The 15654-nt window shown below is 42.6% G+C and overlaps 1 protein-coding gene across 2 annotated transcripts in view; it reads left to right on the top strand.

Moving 5' to 3' along the window:
• The window catches only part of MYO10 (myosin X), a 274382-nt gene that overhangs the window by 163863 nt on the left and 94865 nt on the right, over positions 1-15654 (top strand). Inside the window, exons 10-18 of one of the 2 annotated variants that reach the window (NM_012334.3) lie at positions 3223-3352; positions 6228-6346; positions 8030-8176; positions 8671-8771; positions 8879-8945; positions 9789-9881; positions 10313-10381; positions 10880-10962; positions 14200-14308. In NM_012334.3, the coding sequence (NP_036466.2) occupies positions 3223-3352; positions 6228-6346; positions 8030-8176; positions 8671-8771; positions 8879-8945; positions 9789-9881; positions 10313-10381; positions 10880-10962; positions 14200-14308 (918 nt within the window). The remainder of the gene's footprint in view (positions 1-3222; positions 3353-6227; positions 6347-8029; positions 8177-8670; positions 8772-8878; positions 8946-9788; positions 9882-10312; positions 10382-10879; positions 10963-14199; positions 14309-15654) is intronic. The other variant, XM_006714475.4, reaches the window with a different exon arrangement.

Here is a 15654-nt window from a genome sequence, read left to right as displayed (position 1 = left end):
CGCCGTGGCTCACGCCTATAATCCCAGCACTTTGGGAGGCCAAGGCGGGTGGATCACCTGAGGTCGGGAGTTCGAGACCAGCCTGACCAACATGGAGAACCCCCTGTCTCTACTAAATATACAAAATTAGCCAGGTGTGGTGGTGCATGCCTATAATCCCAGCTACTCGGGAGGCTGAGGCAGGAGAATCACTTGAACCCGGAAGGCGGAGGTTGTAGTGAGCCGAGATCATGCCATTGCACTCCAGCCTGGGCAACAAGAGTGAAACTCCATCTCAAAAAAAAAAAAAAGTATGCAATATTCATATAACTTACTATATTTGACTTGTATAATTGTAGAATAATTAGAATTATTTTTTCTGTGAAAGTGTTAATTAAGGTAACTCTGTAGTGAATGTTTTCTAAAGGTTTTTTTTCTTTTCTTGAAATTTTCCTTGAAACAAATTTTCAGCATTGAAATTATTGGAGATTATATAGATTTCTTTTTTATGTCTTTATAAAGTAACAGAGTTGGGTCAATAATAATAATAATAATGATAAGTTCCTGGCTGGGCACGGTGGCTCATGCCTGTAATTCCAGCACTTTGGGAGACCTAGGTGGGCAGATTGCTTGAGCGCAGGAGTTTGAGACTGGCTTGGGCAACACCGCAAAACTCCATCTCTCCTAAAAATACAAAAATTTAGCCAGGTGTGTTGGTGTGCACCTGTTGTCCCAGCTACTCAGGAGGCTGAGGTGGGAGAATCACCTGAGCCTGGGAAGTCGAGGCTGCAGTGAGCCTTGATCACACCACTGCCCGCCAGTGCAGGTGACAGGAGTGAGACCCTGTATCAAAATAATAATAATAATAATAATAATAATAATAATAATAATAATAATAAATCATAATAGTAAGTTCCTAGATTTGGGTCAGTTGGGCCAGAGTTTGAATTTTGGTTGTGCGACCCTGAGAAAGTTATTTTTCTTCTCTGAACCTTTGTTGTTGGTTTTTCTCTCAGATATGAAAATTCTAGTATTATATACATATTATATACCTAGGACAATTCTGTCAGATAATCATGTTGTTTTCCAAAAAGATTATACTAATTTATAGTACTAACAACCATTGTATAAATGTCTCTTTTCTACTAATCTTTGTCATTCTGAAATTTTTTGCTAATTTGACAGAACTGATCTCATATTTACCTTAATTTGTACATGTTCGATTTCTAGGAAGGAAAAAAACAGTACTCTGGATTTGCATTTCTCCCTATTTTTATCGCTCATGTATATGTCAGTGGATCTTTTAATTCTTTCCCTCTCCATTGTTTGCCTTTTCTTTCCTGCCATTATTGCTTTTTCTTTATAAAGAAATTAATCTTGGCCTGGCGTGGTGGTTCACACCTGTAATCCTGGCACTTTGGGAAGCCAAGGTGGGCATATCACTTGAGGTTGGGAGTTCGAGACCAGCCTGACCAACATGGAGAAACCTCGTATCTACTGAAAATACAAAATTAGCCAGGCGTGGTGGCGCATGCCTGTAATCCCTGCTACTTAGGAGGCTAAAGCAGGAGAATCGCTTGAACCTGGGAGGCACGGGGTGCGGTGAGCCGAGATCGTGCCACTGCACCCCAGGCTGGGCGAAACAGCGAAACTCCATCTCAGAAAGAAAACAAAAAAAAGGGAAAGAAATTGAACTTTTCGCAGTGTTAAATCTCCAGTTGTTTCCTTTTGCAATTTATGTTGCTTCAGAGCGGTGCGTGGTTTCCTTCTTCCCACTCTCCTATGGTCCTTGTGTGAGTCCAAGTTCTTTTTGTAGGTCATTTTCATCGATATTGCCAACAAGTCTGCCCCCAAGTTTGTGTGTACGTGTCTGGTTTTCTTTTCTTTTTTAATAGCTTTTTTTGGTCACAAGAATGCAGCTCCTCAGTCACAGTAGAAAATCAGCAAATCTTAGATATGATTCAGAAAACACCTGGCTTCAGTTGTTTAGATACTGTTGGTAACAGATTCCTGTAAGTGCCTGTTTATTTTTATTTTTCCTCAAACAGCATTATGTTAACTTCCACTTAGTATCCTCAGGCCAAGATAAGACCATAAAAAATCCTTTGGAGAAATTAAAAATAGAGATGTGATGAGTGCCTAAGGAAGATAGGTCCAGATCTATTTAGATTTTCCATCAGCATTTATTTAATTTTTTTCTTTTTTTAAGAGACAGGGTCTTAACTGTGTCACCCAGGCTCCCAGGCTGGAGTACACATGCGATCATAGCTCACCGTAACCTTGAACTCCTGGGTTCATGCGATACTCCTGCCTCAGCCAAGCCAGGAGCTGGGACTGCAGGTGTGCACCAACACACCTGGCTAATTTTTTAAAATTCTTGGCTTGGCATGGTGGCTCACGCCTGTAATCCCAGCACTTTGGAAGGCCAAGCTGGAAGGATTGCTTGAGGCCAGGAGTTTGAGACCAGCCTGGCCAACATGAGACCCCCATCTCTACAAACAAAACAAAACAAAACAAAACAAAAATACACCCCCTCTCCAAGTACTCCCTCTCCACATTTTTACATCTAAAGAAAATAATAAATATTTCATTACACTCTGATAGCTGTACAGAAAACTGTTTCTTTATTGTTGTCATGACTGTGACTCCCTGAGGTAATTCTTTTGTAGCATATATAGGAGGCTTGTATGTAAGGGGGACACTATGTTTATTTCATTGATTATCTCTGAGCATGCTATAGTTCTTTATCTTCCTCCTCTTATGTGCACTATGTAATGTCCTCATCATTTTAAAAGTGAGTTGCTATTGGGCGGGCGCGGTGGCTCACGCCTGTAATCCCAGAACTTTGGGAGGCCAAGGTTGGTGGCTCACTTGAGGTCAGGAGTTCAAGACCAGCCTGGTCAACATGGTGAAACCCAGTCTCTACAAAAAACACACACAAAAAATTAGCTAGGCATGGTGGCACACACCTGTAATCCCAGCTACTCGGGAGGCTGAGGCACGAGAATTGCTTGAACCCAGGAGGCGGAGGTTGCAGTGAGCCAAGATCGTGCCACTGCACTCCAGCTTGGGTGACAGAACGAGACTGTCTCAAAACAAAAAAACAAGTGAGTGGTTATGCATCTATTTTTTGTTTCTTTGCCTTTTCAATAACACCTAGTAATTTTATATTATCAGGGATATTCTACATTTTCTTCAGTGTGAAAAAACGACATAAAATTAAATACATTTATTTTCTTCTAGACGGCAATGGACGTGATGCAGTTCAGCAAGGAGGAAGTTCGGGAAGTGTCGAGGCTGCTTGCTGGTATACTGCATCTTGGGAACATAGAATTTATCACTGCTGGTGGGGCACAGGTTTCCTTCAAAACAGGTAAGATTATGCCTGCCTGCCCTCCTCGCTCCCTTTGTTCCCCGTGGGAAACTTAAACCTAAATTATTGACTGTCTAGCCTTTCAGAAAGAAAATTCTGGCCAGGTGCGGTGGCTCTTGCCTGTAACCCCAGCACTTTGGGAGGTGGAGGCGGGCAGATTGCTTGAGCCCAGGAGTTCGAGACCAGCCTGGGCAATGTGGCCAAACCCCATCTCTACTAAAAATACAAAAATTAGCCAGGCATGATGGTGTGCCCCTGTAGTCCCAGCTGCTTGGGAGGAGAGGGTGGGAGGATCACCTGAGCCTCTGCGGGTTGAAGGTGCAGTGAGCTGAGATGATGCCACTGCACTCCAGTCTGGGCAACAGAGTGAGATCTTGTATCACCAAAAAAAAAAAAAAAAAAAAAAAAAGAAAAGAGAAAATGTTCTGACTCCTTGAATAGAGAGCTACAGAATGTTAGTTGTGTCAGATATGAAGCGTCGGTTAGGAAAGGCTCAGAGTATATGAAAAGTTACTAGTCAATTGGGATAGCAGCCATTTTCTCTTTTTAAAAAGAAGGAAAATGAGTCAAGTACGTGGAAATATGAGCAACCAGGAATCGACATAGGAAAATGTTGAGAGTCAGGTGGCATTGTCCTGTTGAGTGCCAGCATGGTAGAATGGTTAATTAAGTCCCTTTGTTTTGCAAGCCAGTATGCTGGCTTCATAGCCCTCCCCTGCTTCATACTGTTTCCTGTGTTCTTTATCCCCTGAATACTCATGACTTCTCACCTGTACAGTGTCTCAGAGATTTGCTGTCAAGATAAAATGAGTTACCATATAGCTACGTCAGTTGTCATTTTGCTTGAGTGATTTATGTATTAATTTTTAAAACTTTTCTGATGGAAGCAAGAGATGAGGTCATGGAAGCTGGAAATTGGATGAGTTCAAGTTCAGAGTGGTTCTAGAGGAGACCAGAACTGTAGGCCAGTAATTCTCAAATGTCTGGTTCTACCCAGCACCTCTTAATATTCTCAAAAATCATAGAACCCCCGAGAGCTTTTGTTTATGTGGGTTGTATCTGTTGATGTTTACCACATTAAAAGTTAAAACTTTTTGGCTGGGCACAGTGGCCCATGCCTGTAATCCTAGCACTTTGGGAGGATGAGGCAGGTGGATCACTTGAGGTCAGGAGTTCGAGACCAACCTGGCCAACATGGTGAAACCCCGTCTCTACTAAAAATACAAAAATTAGCCAGGCGTGGTGGTGTGCGCCTGTAATTCCAGCTACTTGGGAGACTGAGGCACGAGAATCTCTTGAACCTGGGAGGTGGAGGTTGCAGTGAGCCAAGATCATGCCAGTGCACTATAGCCTGGGTGACAAAGTGAGACTCTATCTCAAAAAAAAAGTGAAAACTTCTAATCAAAAGTTAAAATGAGATGTTTAAAAAATATTCTTTATTAATTTAAAAAGAACAATAATAAACCCATTGCATACTAAAATAAATGTTCTATTTTTATTTAAAAGACTGTTTTCCAAATCAGAAAACAGGAAGGATAGTCACATTGTCTTATCTTTTTGCAAATTTCTTTAATGTCTGGCATATTGAAAGACAGTTGGGGGCTGGGCGCAGTGGCTTCTACCTGTAATCCCAGAACTTTCTTTAGGAGGCCAAGGTAGGTGGATCACGTGAGGTCAGGAGTTGGAGACCAGCCAGGCCGATACGGTGAAACCCGTCGCTACTAAAAATACAAAAATTAGCCGGGCTTGGTGGCGGGCACCTGTAATCCTAGCTACTTGGGAAGCTGAGGCAAGAGAATCGCTTGAACCCAGGACGCGGAGGTTGCAGTGAGCCGAGATCATGCCACTGCACTCCAGCCTGGGAGACAAAGCAAGACTCTGTCTCAAAAAAAAAAAAAAAAAAAAAGACAGTTGGGTTGTCATATCTCTTCTGCCTTTAATTTGTTGAGGTACCTCATGTGTAGCCTTTGGAATACTCTTCTGTATACTGGTGAGAGAATTAGAGTGAAAAAAGCAGATAACATCTTAGTGTTATTAATGAAAGTAGTAGGCCGGGCATGGTGGCTCATGCTTGTAATCCCAACATTTTGGGAGGCCAAGGCAGGGAGATCACTTGAGGTCAGGAGTTCAAGACCAACCTAGCCAACATGGTGAAACCCTGTCTCTACTAAAAATACTCAGGAGGCTGAGGCAGGAGAATCATCTGAACCAGGGAGGCGGAGGTTGCAGTGAGCTGAGATCATGCCACCGTACTCCAGCCTGGGCTACAGAGTGAGACTCCATCTCAAAAAAAAAAAAAAAAAGAAAGTAGGTGGGCATGGTGGCTCATGCCTGTAATCCCAGCACTTTGGGAGGCCAAGGCGGGTAGATCATGAGGTCAAGAGATCAAGACCGTCCTGGCCAACGTGGAGGTCAACAGATTGAGACCATCCTGGCCAACATGATGAAACCCCATCTCTACTAAATATGCAAAAAAATTAGCCAGGCGTGGTAGCGGGTGCCTATAGTCCCAGCTGCTTGGGAGGCTGAGGCAGGAGAATGGCGTGAACCCGGGAGGCAGAACTTGCAGTGAACCGAGATCATTGCACTCCAGCCTGGGCGACAGAGCGAGACTCCGTCTCAAAAAAAAGGAGTTGCAAATCTCTGACAGGATCTTGGGGACACCCATAGGATTCCCAGACCACACTTCGTCCAAGCACGAGGCTCTATGCTACTAATCTAGGATTCACTAAGGGAATGAGTAACTTAGCAATAACATGCAATCTCTAAACTCTGCGTGAGGGATTCAGGTGTGTTCTCTGCGTTAAGGTATCGCTAAGCCTGGTTAGCTTCTTGGGGGCGGTGGGTTCATTCACCTTTGTCTTATTCTCTGCAGCTTTGGGCAGATCTGCGGAGTTACTTGGGCTGGACCCAACACAGCTCACAGATGCTTTGACCCAGAGATCAATGTTCCTCAGGGGAGAAGAGATCCTCACGCCTCTCAATGTTCAACAGGTACACACGCTTTGCCATCTGATCTTGCGTTACTAGACACTCCTGGGTTTTCAGATCCATAGGTTTGATTGAAATATGTAATTATAATAACAGTTGTAACTGTAATATATTAATAACTGTTCAAATGACTGGTTCATGATAAAAATAAAGAAGATACCAAAGGATTGGGAATAGACAAAGCTATTGAATTGCTGTCTAATTGTCTAAAATAACATCGAATTGTTGTTTAAGAGGATGGGTCGAATGCAGATTGCCTGACTTTGAACTTGACCCTTCTACTTACTACTGTCTGCTCTTGGGAAATTTAGTCACTATGCCTCAGTTTCCTCCACTATAAGACAAGCATAATTATACCTAATTCATAGGACTCTTATAAGAAAAATAACAAATATATGCTGAGCATTTAATGTCTGGTACAGAGTAAGTGCTAAATAAACATTACTTACGACAATAATGTGTTGTTATAATGAAAACAATATAATAATATGTTTTATTTATATTTGCCTCTGCTACTGCGCTGAGCCAATGTATATGTGCTAGCTCTTTGTATTAGGGTTTTCTTAGAGGGACAGAATATGATAGATAGATTGATAGATATAAAGGGGAGTTTATTAAGTATTAACTTACATGATCAGAAGGTCCCACAATAGGCTGTGTGCAAGCTAAGGAGCAAGGAGAGCCAGTCTGAGTCCCAAAACTGAAGAACTTGGAGTCCGATGTTCTAGGGCAGGAAGCATCCGGCATGGGAGAAAGATGTAGGCTGGGAGGCTGTGCCAGTCTCGCCTTTTCGCATTTTTCTGCCTGCTTTATTTTCACTAGGAGCTTGTGCCCACCAGATTAAGGATGGATGTGCCTTCCCTAGCCCACTGACTCAGATGTCACCCACACAGACACACCCAGGATTAATACTTTGTATCCTTCAATCAAGTTGACACTCAGTATTAACCATCACACTCCTCTAATATGTTTTTAATTGGATAAATGAAAATGCTGACCATATTATGAAGAAAAACTTTGTAAATACAAAGTATAATAGAAAATCAGAAAAATTTTAAAAAGAGCTCACATCTTAATTATTGTTTTAAACCTGGTGCCAGGTGCGGTGGCTCACACCTGTAATCCCAGCACTTTGAGAGGCTGAGGCGGGCAGATCACCTGAGGTCAGGAGTTTGAGACCAGCCTGACCAACATGGAGAAACCCCATCTCTACTAAAAATAGAAAAATTAACCAGGTGTGGTGGCACATGCCTGTAATCCCAGCTACTCAGGGGGCTGAAGCAGGAGAATCGCTTGAACCTGGGAGGTGGAGGTTGCTGTGAGCCGAGATCACGCCATTGCACTCCAGCCTGGGTGACAGAGCTAGACTCCGTCTCAAAAAAACAAAAAACAAAAAAAACCTGGTAACATTTGTACCTGTATATATGGTTTAGATTCTTTTGTATAACAGCATAGCAAGTTGAGTTTGGAATCCTGGTATTTAATCTTAACAGAAGAGAAATATGTGAATTCCAGTTTATCTTTTCTTTAGATATCTGTCCTTTCCTAGATGAGATCGATTGACTTCACACTGGAGGGCCAGATGCTATGCTAGTCTTGTGTGTGTCTCTCAAGTGGGGAATGGATGGCCTTGCCTGTCTGGGGTGCCCGGGGTCAGCTGAGTCTGTGCTGGTTTCTCTCCCACAGGCAGTAGACAGCAGGGACTCCCTGGCCATGGCTCTGTATGCGTGCTGCTTTGAGTGGGTAATCAAGAAGATCAACAGCAGGATCAAAGGCAATGAGGACTTCAAGTCTATTGGCATCCTCGACATCTTTGGATTTGAAAACTTTGAGGTAGGTTTCCTAACAGTGCAGCACGTGAATTCTCTTCTGTCCATGATTAGCTGCTATTGAACAAATCTCTGTGAGCAAACTCTTTTTTTTTCTTTTTTTTTTTGAGAAGGAGTCTCACTCTGTATCCCAGGCTGGAGTGCAGTGGCGTGATCACAGCTCACTGCAACTTCCACATCCTGGTTCAAGTGATTCTCCCACCTCAGCCTCCCAAGAAGCTGAGATTACAGGTGCCTGCCACCACAGCCGGCTAATTTTTCTTGTATTTTCAATAGAGACGGGGTTGCACCATGCTGGTCAGGCTGGTCTTGGACTCCCGACCTCAGGTGATCTGCCCACCTCGGCCTCCCAAAGTGCTGGGATAACAGGTGTGAGCCACTGTGCCAGACAACAGGCATTGATATTTTTCTCTGCAGATCTTTTCTTTGTCTTTTCTTCACCTTTCTATATAATCGTGAGTACACTAAAGATACTTATTGAATGCTTTCCCCCCTTAGGTTAATCACTTTGAACAGTTCAATATAAACTATGCAAACGAGAAACTTCAGGAGTACTTCAACAAGCATATTTTTTCTTTAGAACAACTAGAATATAGCCGGTAAGCACTCATAGAATTCCATTTCAATTTTTTTTTTTAAAGCAGCAACTAGATTCGTTTTGAAGCTATGTTTTCATTTAACTTGGCTGTTTAAAATCTTTCTACAGGGAAGGATTAGTGTGGGAAGATATTGACTGGATAGACAATGGAGAATGCCTGGACTTGATTGAGAAGGTAATGTATTTTTGAAGAATGGTTACAGTCCCAAGGGGGTCCAGCTGGACTGATTCATATTTATGGGAACAAAATAACGTGCACGAACACGCACATCAACGATGTGAATGTTTAGAACACAATGGACCATTTGGAAACATAAATGTAAATGTGCAAGGTTGAATTTAAATACTTGGCTGCTTCAAACCTATTGTCTCATTGAACTCAGTATTTTAGAATCAACAGTGTGTGAATTGGCTTCCCTTAGATTTTAAGTCAGAAGCAAAGCCTTGCCAGTACCAATATAGATTTGCCAGTTGTAAAAGTTTTATCCCCAAAATTGCAACGGGTTCAATTTTTTTTTAAGATTTATATAAGAACTTAATTGGTTTTCTCTATAGTGTATCATTATGGATTTTCCAATCGAGAAATTACCATGCCTTTTCTTTTAACCACTCATTTGTTAGAGAGTAGAGAAGAGCTCTCAAATAGTTTGGGACGCACACATTCAACTTTTTTTTTTTTTTTTTTTTCCCCTGAGACGGAGTCTCACTCTGTCGCCCAGGCTGGAGTATAGTGACACAGACTTGGCTCACTGCAACCTCCGTCTCCCAGGTTCAAGTGATTCTCCTGCCTCAGCCTCCCCAGTAGCTGGGATTACAGGTGTATGCCACCACGCCCAGTTAATTTTTTTGTATATTTAGTAGAAACAGGGTTTCACTGTTGGCCAGGCTGGTCTGGAACTCCTGACCTCAAATGATCTGCCCATCTTGGCTTCCCAAAGTGCTGGAATTACAGGCATGAGCTACCCATGCACCCAGCCACATTCAACTTTTAATTCATTTTTTCTTTTTCTTCTTCTAGAAACTTGGCCTCCTAGCCCTTATCAATGAAGAAAGCCATTTTCCTCAAGCCACAGACAGCACCTTATTGGAGAAGCTACACAGTCAGCATGCGGTATGTCAAAACCTGCAATTCTTCATCACATTGGAGTAGCACGTCTGTGGGTTGGGATTACACACCAGACATGTCAGTCCGCTGGCCCAACTGTGCCTCCCACATTGAACATTTATTCTCAAACCAAAGCTGTTCTTCTATTACTAGAACTAAATTGAAATAAGCAAAAGGGTTAGATTTGGAGCTACTTGTTAGAATGCCCAAGCTTATTTAGAGAACGTAAAATTGTTAATCTATTATAATGACACAATCGAGAGTTAACATGGTTTTTATAAAGTGCACCATATGCCGTGTCCTGAAACGCAGATCCATGGCAAGTTTGGAAATGATTTTCACTGTCTTTTGTATTTAGTGTTCTCTGGAAGTCAAAGGAAATCAGTGAGTGAAATAAGGCATTGTATTTTTTTTTTTTTTTTTTTTTTTTTTTTTAGAATAACCACTTTTATGTGAAGCCCAGAGTTGCAGTTAACAATTTTGGAGTGAAGCACTATGCTGGAGAGGTAACTTTTTATTAAGATACCTATTGATATTTGCCTGTTTGGTATTCAGAGAAAACAGTGGTTTCAGAAGCCAATCATGAATTTATTGGGCTGGGCATGGTGGCTCACATGAGCCTACAGTCCCAGTACTTTGGGAGGCTGAGGCAGGAGGATCACTTGAGGACAGGAGTTTGAGACCAGCCTGGGCAACATAGATATAAAAAACATCTTACAAGATATTTTTTAAAAAGTTAGCCTGGCATGGTGACACATCTGTTGTCCTAGCTGTTCTGGAGGCCGAGGTGGGAGGATTGCTTGGGCATAGGAATTTGAGGCTGCATGAGCTATGATCACGTCACTGCACTTCAGCCTGGGAAATAGAGCAAGACCCTGTCTCTTAAAAAATAAATAAATAAATTTCTTGGAATGATTTCTTTTTGTGGCTCTTTCAGGGAAGTTGCTTATGACCTGAAACTATTCTTTCAATCAGTTTTCTCCTCTCTTATTTATTAAAACTAGGTGCAATATGATGTCCGAGGTATCTTGGAGAAGAACAGAGATACATTTCGAGATGACCTTCTCAATTTGCTAAGAGAAAGCCGGTATGTCAGTCTTCTCACCGAGAAGTACTTAGCAAGCAAATGAATATTTGTGCAAATGCTTTTAATTCACAAATATAGAACAAATTGCTGTTATGTAAGAAACTTAGTATTGTTTTTCCCAGGTAATACTTCATCAATGAAGTAACTCAAAAGTATAACAATAATACAAGCAAGGTCGGGCATGGTGGCTCACGCCTGTAATCCCAGCACTTTGGGATGCCAAGGTGGGCAAATCACGTGAGGTCAGGAGTTTGAGACCAGCCTGGCCAACATAGTGAAACCCCATCTCTACTGAAAATACAAAAATTAGCCAAGCATGGTGGCAGGCACCTGTAATCCCAGCTACTTGGGAGGCTGAAACAGGAGAATCGCTTTAACCTGGGAGGTGGAGGTTGCAGTGACCCAAGATTGCGCCATTGCAGTCCAGCCTGGGTGACAAGAGTGAAACTCTGTCTCAAAATAAATAAATAAATAAATAAATTAATAATAATAATAATAATATAAGCAATGACTGCCATTTAGTGAGGTACTGAAATAAACCAACCACAGAGGTATAAGTAACATACTGTTATTAATCCTCTTATGCAGATGAGGAAACCGAGCCTTGAAGCAGTTAAAGCTGTTAAGTGACTTCCCCAAGACCTCTCAACTGGTAACCAGTGAGCCATCGAGTCCAGTTTTGATCTGGTCTGGTTGGCTTGAGAACCTTAATATCTTAAGCAGTGTGGTCTGCTGTCTTCACAGGGAGCTTAGAGCTGCGTGGTTAAGCTGATTTCAGCCTTGGTTTTATAGGACTCCTGTGTCTCTAGTTAGTAAAATAAATGCCTTAATTCAGCTATAATTATAAATTTATTACATATTCATTTATTCGTTCATGAATTATAAATTTACACCATTAAATCAATAAAGAAAACACACAGAAACTTGCAGTGATAAGTTATTTGTATGTATTAGACCAGGAAGTGTCCTTTTTGGTTTTTTTTTGGTTTGTTTTTTTTTTTTGGAGACAGGGTCTCGTTCTGTCACCCAGACTGGAGTGCAGTGGCGCAATCTCGGCTCACTGCAACCTCCACCTCCCAGGTTCACGCCATTCTCCTGCCTCAGCCTCCCGAGTAGCTGGGACTACAGGTGCCCGCCACCACGCCTGGCTATTTTTTTTTTTTTTTTTGTATCTTTAGTAGAGACAGGGTTTCGCCATGTCAGCCAGGATGGTCTCCATCTCCTGACCTCATGATCCGCCCACCTCGGCCTCCCAAAGTGCTGGGATTACAGGCATGAGCCACCATGCCCGGCGGAAGTGTACTATTTTTAGGAGGCTTTGTAAGAGAGAAAGAGTTTAGGGAAAAAACCCTTTCCTGAAAGCTTTCAGCACCTGTGTTGGATCTGGTGGGAATCTGTAACAAAAACACATGTTTATATCTAAGGAAGGAAAGTAGCAAAAAAGTTTAAAAGCTGTAATACTTTTAGAAATGTAAATACTAGATGGCCACCTGTCACTTAGATAGGAATGAATTGGGACAAAGGGAGCCCATATAAGGTAGTATCAGCCTAGAAACTCAGAATTTGAAACATTTGATCTTCAAACTTATTTTAACTCTTCTATGTGAGGGTTCACTATATACAACATTGTTAGCTATTTTATTTTTAGGTGAGTTTTCAGACCTGTAAAAATGATGGGTGTTTAAAAAACACCATAGCATGCTGTCAAAGCAATTTCTTAGTTTAATGCGATACGTTTAAATAAAAGCCCTGTATTGATGTTAAGTAGAGGCAGTTTGTCGTAGTGAAAAGATTGCAGGCCTGGAGACCAGCGAGGTGGAGTTTCGCCAGCTGCCTCTGTGCCAGCGTGAAGCAGTTTTGTGAGTGGTGTAAAGAACTTCCTGTCTCAACCCCAGGTTTCCCCTTGCAAACCGAGGAGCTGGGGCTGTTCACTTGCTTCACTCTCTTTCACCTTTGACATCTGTGACATTTTAATGGAACCAAAGCTTCTCTCCAAAGAGCTCAAAGCACAGTTAGAGAACTTAAGAGAGTGAGCATTAAAGAGCACCCGAGAACAAAAATGAAAAAGGTTGGGGCAAAGCAAGAAGCGACCAGGGAAAGCTCTAATATTGCCGCTTGTGGGGAGGCAGATGCTCAGAAGTCTTCCCTGACTGTCCTGGTGACAGTGAAGCCACCAACCCCACCAGCTCCATAGCCCATGATACCTTCCATGCAAGGAAGATTTAAAAATCATTGAAGGCTGGGCGGGCGCGGTGGCTCACGCCTATAATCCTAACACTTTGGGAGGCCGAGGCGGGTGGATCACCTGAAGTCAGGAGTTCAAGACCAGCCTGGCCAACATGGTGAAACCCTGTCTCTACTACAAAATATAAAAATTAGCCAGGCGTGATGGCAGGCGCCTATAATCCCAGCTACTCAGAAGGCTGAAGCAGGAGAATCGCTTGAACCCGGGAGGCAGAGGTTGCAGTGAGCCGAGATCGCACCACTGCACTCCAGCCTGGGTGAAAGAGCGAAACTCTGTCTAAAAAAAAAAAATTATTGGGAAGCTTTTCACTTTTACCTTGTTAATAGTAGCAATGGATTTTACAGAACTTTTTAAATAATAACTAATATCAATATATATGATATGCCAGGTAGCATGCTTTCTGCCTTTTACATGCATGTTCTCCTTTCATTCTCACCTGGCATTAGGGGATAAATTAAAAAATTATCTCCATTTTCCAGATGAAAAAACTGAGGCTTAGAGAGAGATGAAACATCTTGCCCAAGCAACACAGCTGGGAAGTGGGGAGACAGGATTTGAACCATCGCCTGCCTCACCCTGTAATTAGTGTTCCCCAGGAGCACCTTTCCATCCGTTAACTGCTTCAATCTTTGCAACACTGCAAGATGGCAAAACTAATAACTCACTTTTGCAAGTGAGGAGACCGAGGCTACAGAGGCTTAGATGGCATTCCAGAAAGCACAGAGCTCCTAAGTGGGATTCCACCCTTTGTCACTGTCATGCCAGTCCCCTTCTCTGCAAGACTCTGGTCTCTGACACTGCCACGTGTTTTCAGTGCCTAAAGCTCTTTGGCAGTGTTTGGTTTGAAATCTTTGGAAGCTGTCTTAGTTCTTCCAGGCCTAGGGTGTATTACTTTGAATTATCATTGAGAAAGGGCACCATTAATTACAATAATCTTGCACCTAATAATGGGTGTGTGTGCCTCACTGACCTCCTGCTCTTGCCTCACACAGATTTGACTTTATCTACGATCTTTTTGAACATGTTTCAAGCCGCAACAACCAGGATACCTTGAAATGTGGAAGCAAACATCGGCGGCCTACAGTCAGCTCACAGTTCAAGGTTCGTTTTCACTGCTGGCTTAGAGGAATCCGTCGTTACTGTATTTTTAAGAACTGAAAAGAGGATTTGGGTGTATGTGAAGTCTATGAGAATATTTGTTTATTTTTGTTTCCTTTTATATCATGCTTTTAAACCAGATAGTGCTTTAGAAATAAAATAGAGTTTTGGCTCACGCCTGTATTCTCAGCACTTTGGGAGGCCGAGGTGGGCAGATCACCTGAGCTCAGGGGTTCAAAACCAGCCGGGGCAACATGGTGAAATCCTGTCTCTACAAAAAATACAGAAATTATCTGGGTGCGGTGGCGCATGCCTGTAGTCCCAGCTACTCAGGAGGCTGAGGTGGGAGGATTGCCTGAGCCTGGGAGATCAAGATTGCAGAGAGCTGTGATTGCACCACTGCACTCCAGCCTGGGTGACAGCGTAAGACCTAGACTCTGTCTAAAAAAAGAGAGAAAAGAAATAAAATAGACTTTTTCTCTGAGTCAGATGAAAACATGTAGATCCTTTTTAAAAAAATAAATGGCTATTTCTTCTAAGCTTTTGAAATAGCAAACTCCTTAAGGCCATTTGGGACCACTCTGATTTGTATTTAGAGACTCATGTGGAAATGGGATATATTTCTTCTCATATCTGGATGTTTTTTCCCCCTGGTTAGATGAGACTGATGTCAGTTACCTTGTCCTAGGCTCTTAATCTTCCAGCAGAGGTTTTCAGTTTTCTTTTTCTAGAAGGTCGGTTTGCCAGGACTTCTCTGAGAAAGCTTTTTTTTTTTCCGTGTGTGTGTGTGTGTGTGTGTGTGTGCGTGTGTGTGTGTGTTTGTGTGTGTGTGAGACAGGGTCTTGTTCTGTCACCCAGACTGGAGTGCAGTGGTGTAATCACGCCTCACTGCAGCCTCAAACTCCCAGGCGCAAGTGATTCTCCCCCCTCAGCCTCCTGAGTAGCTGGCACTACAGGTGTAAGCCACTACACCCGACTTTTTTTTTTTTTTTTTTTTTTTTAAAGGCAGAGTCTCGCTCTGTCACCCAGGCTGGAATGCAATGGCACGATCTCAGCTCACTGCAACCTCTACCTCCCAGATTCAAGAGATTCTTCTGCCTCAGCCTCCCAAGTAGCTGGGACTAGAGGCATGCGCCATTACGCATGGCTAATTTTTCATACCCGGCTAATTTTTAGATGTTTTACTGAGATGGGGTCTTATTATGTTGCCCAGGCTGATCTCAAAATTCTGGCCTCCAGCGATCCTCCTGCCTCAGCCTCCCAAAGTGCTGGAATTACAGACGTGAGCCACTGCACCCACCCTTGGGTTTTTGAAATGTTTGAGACTTTAAACTGGACTAGCAGTGAAG

The sequence above is a fragment of the Homo sapiens genome, chromosome 5, assembly GCF_000001405.40.
Source record: "Homo sapiens chromosome 5, GRCh38.p14 Primary Assembly".
In the NCBI taxonomy this organism is placed as follows: Eukaryota; Metazoa; Chordata; class Mammalia; order Primates; family Hominidae; genus Homo; species Homo sapiens.
This window is presented reverse-complemented; position numbering and strand designations above follow the sequence as displayed.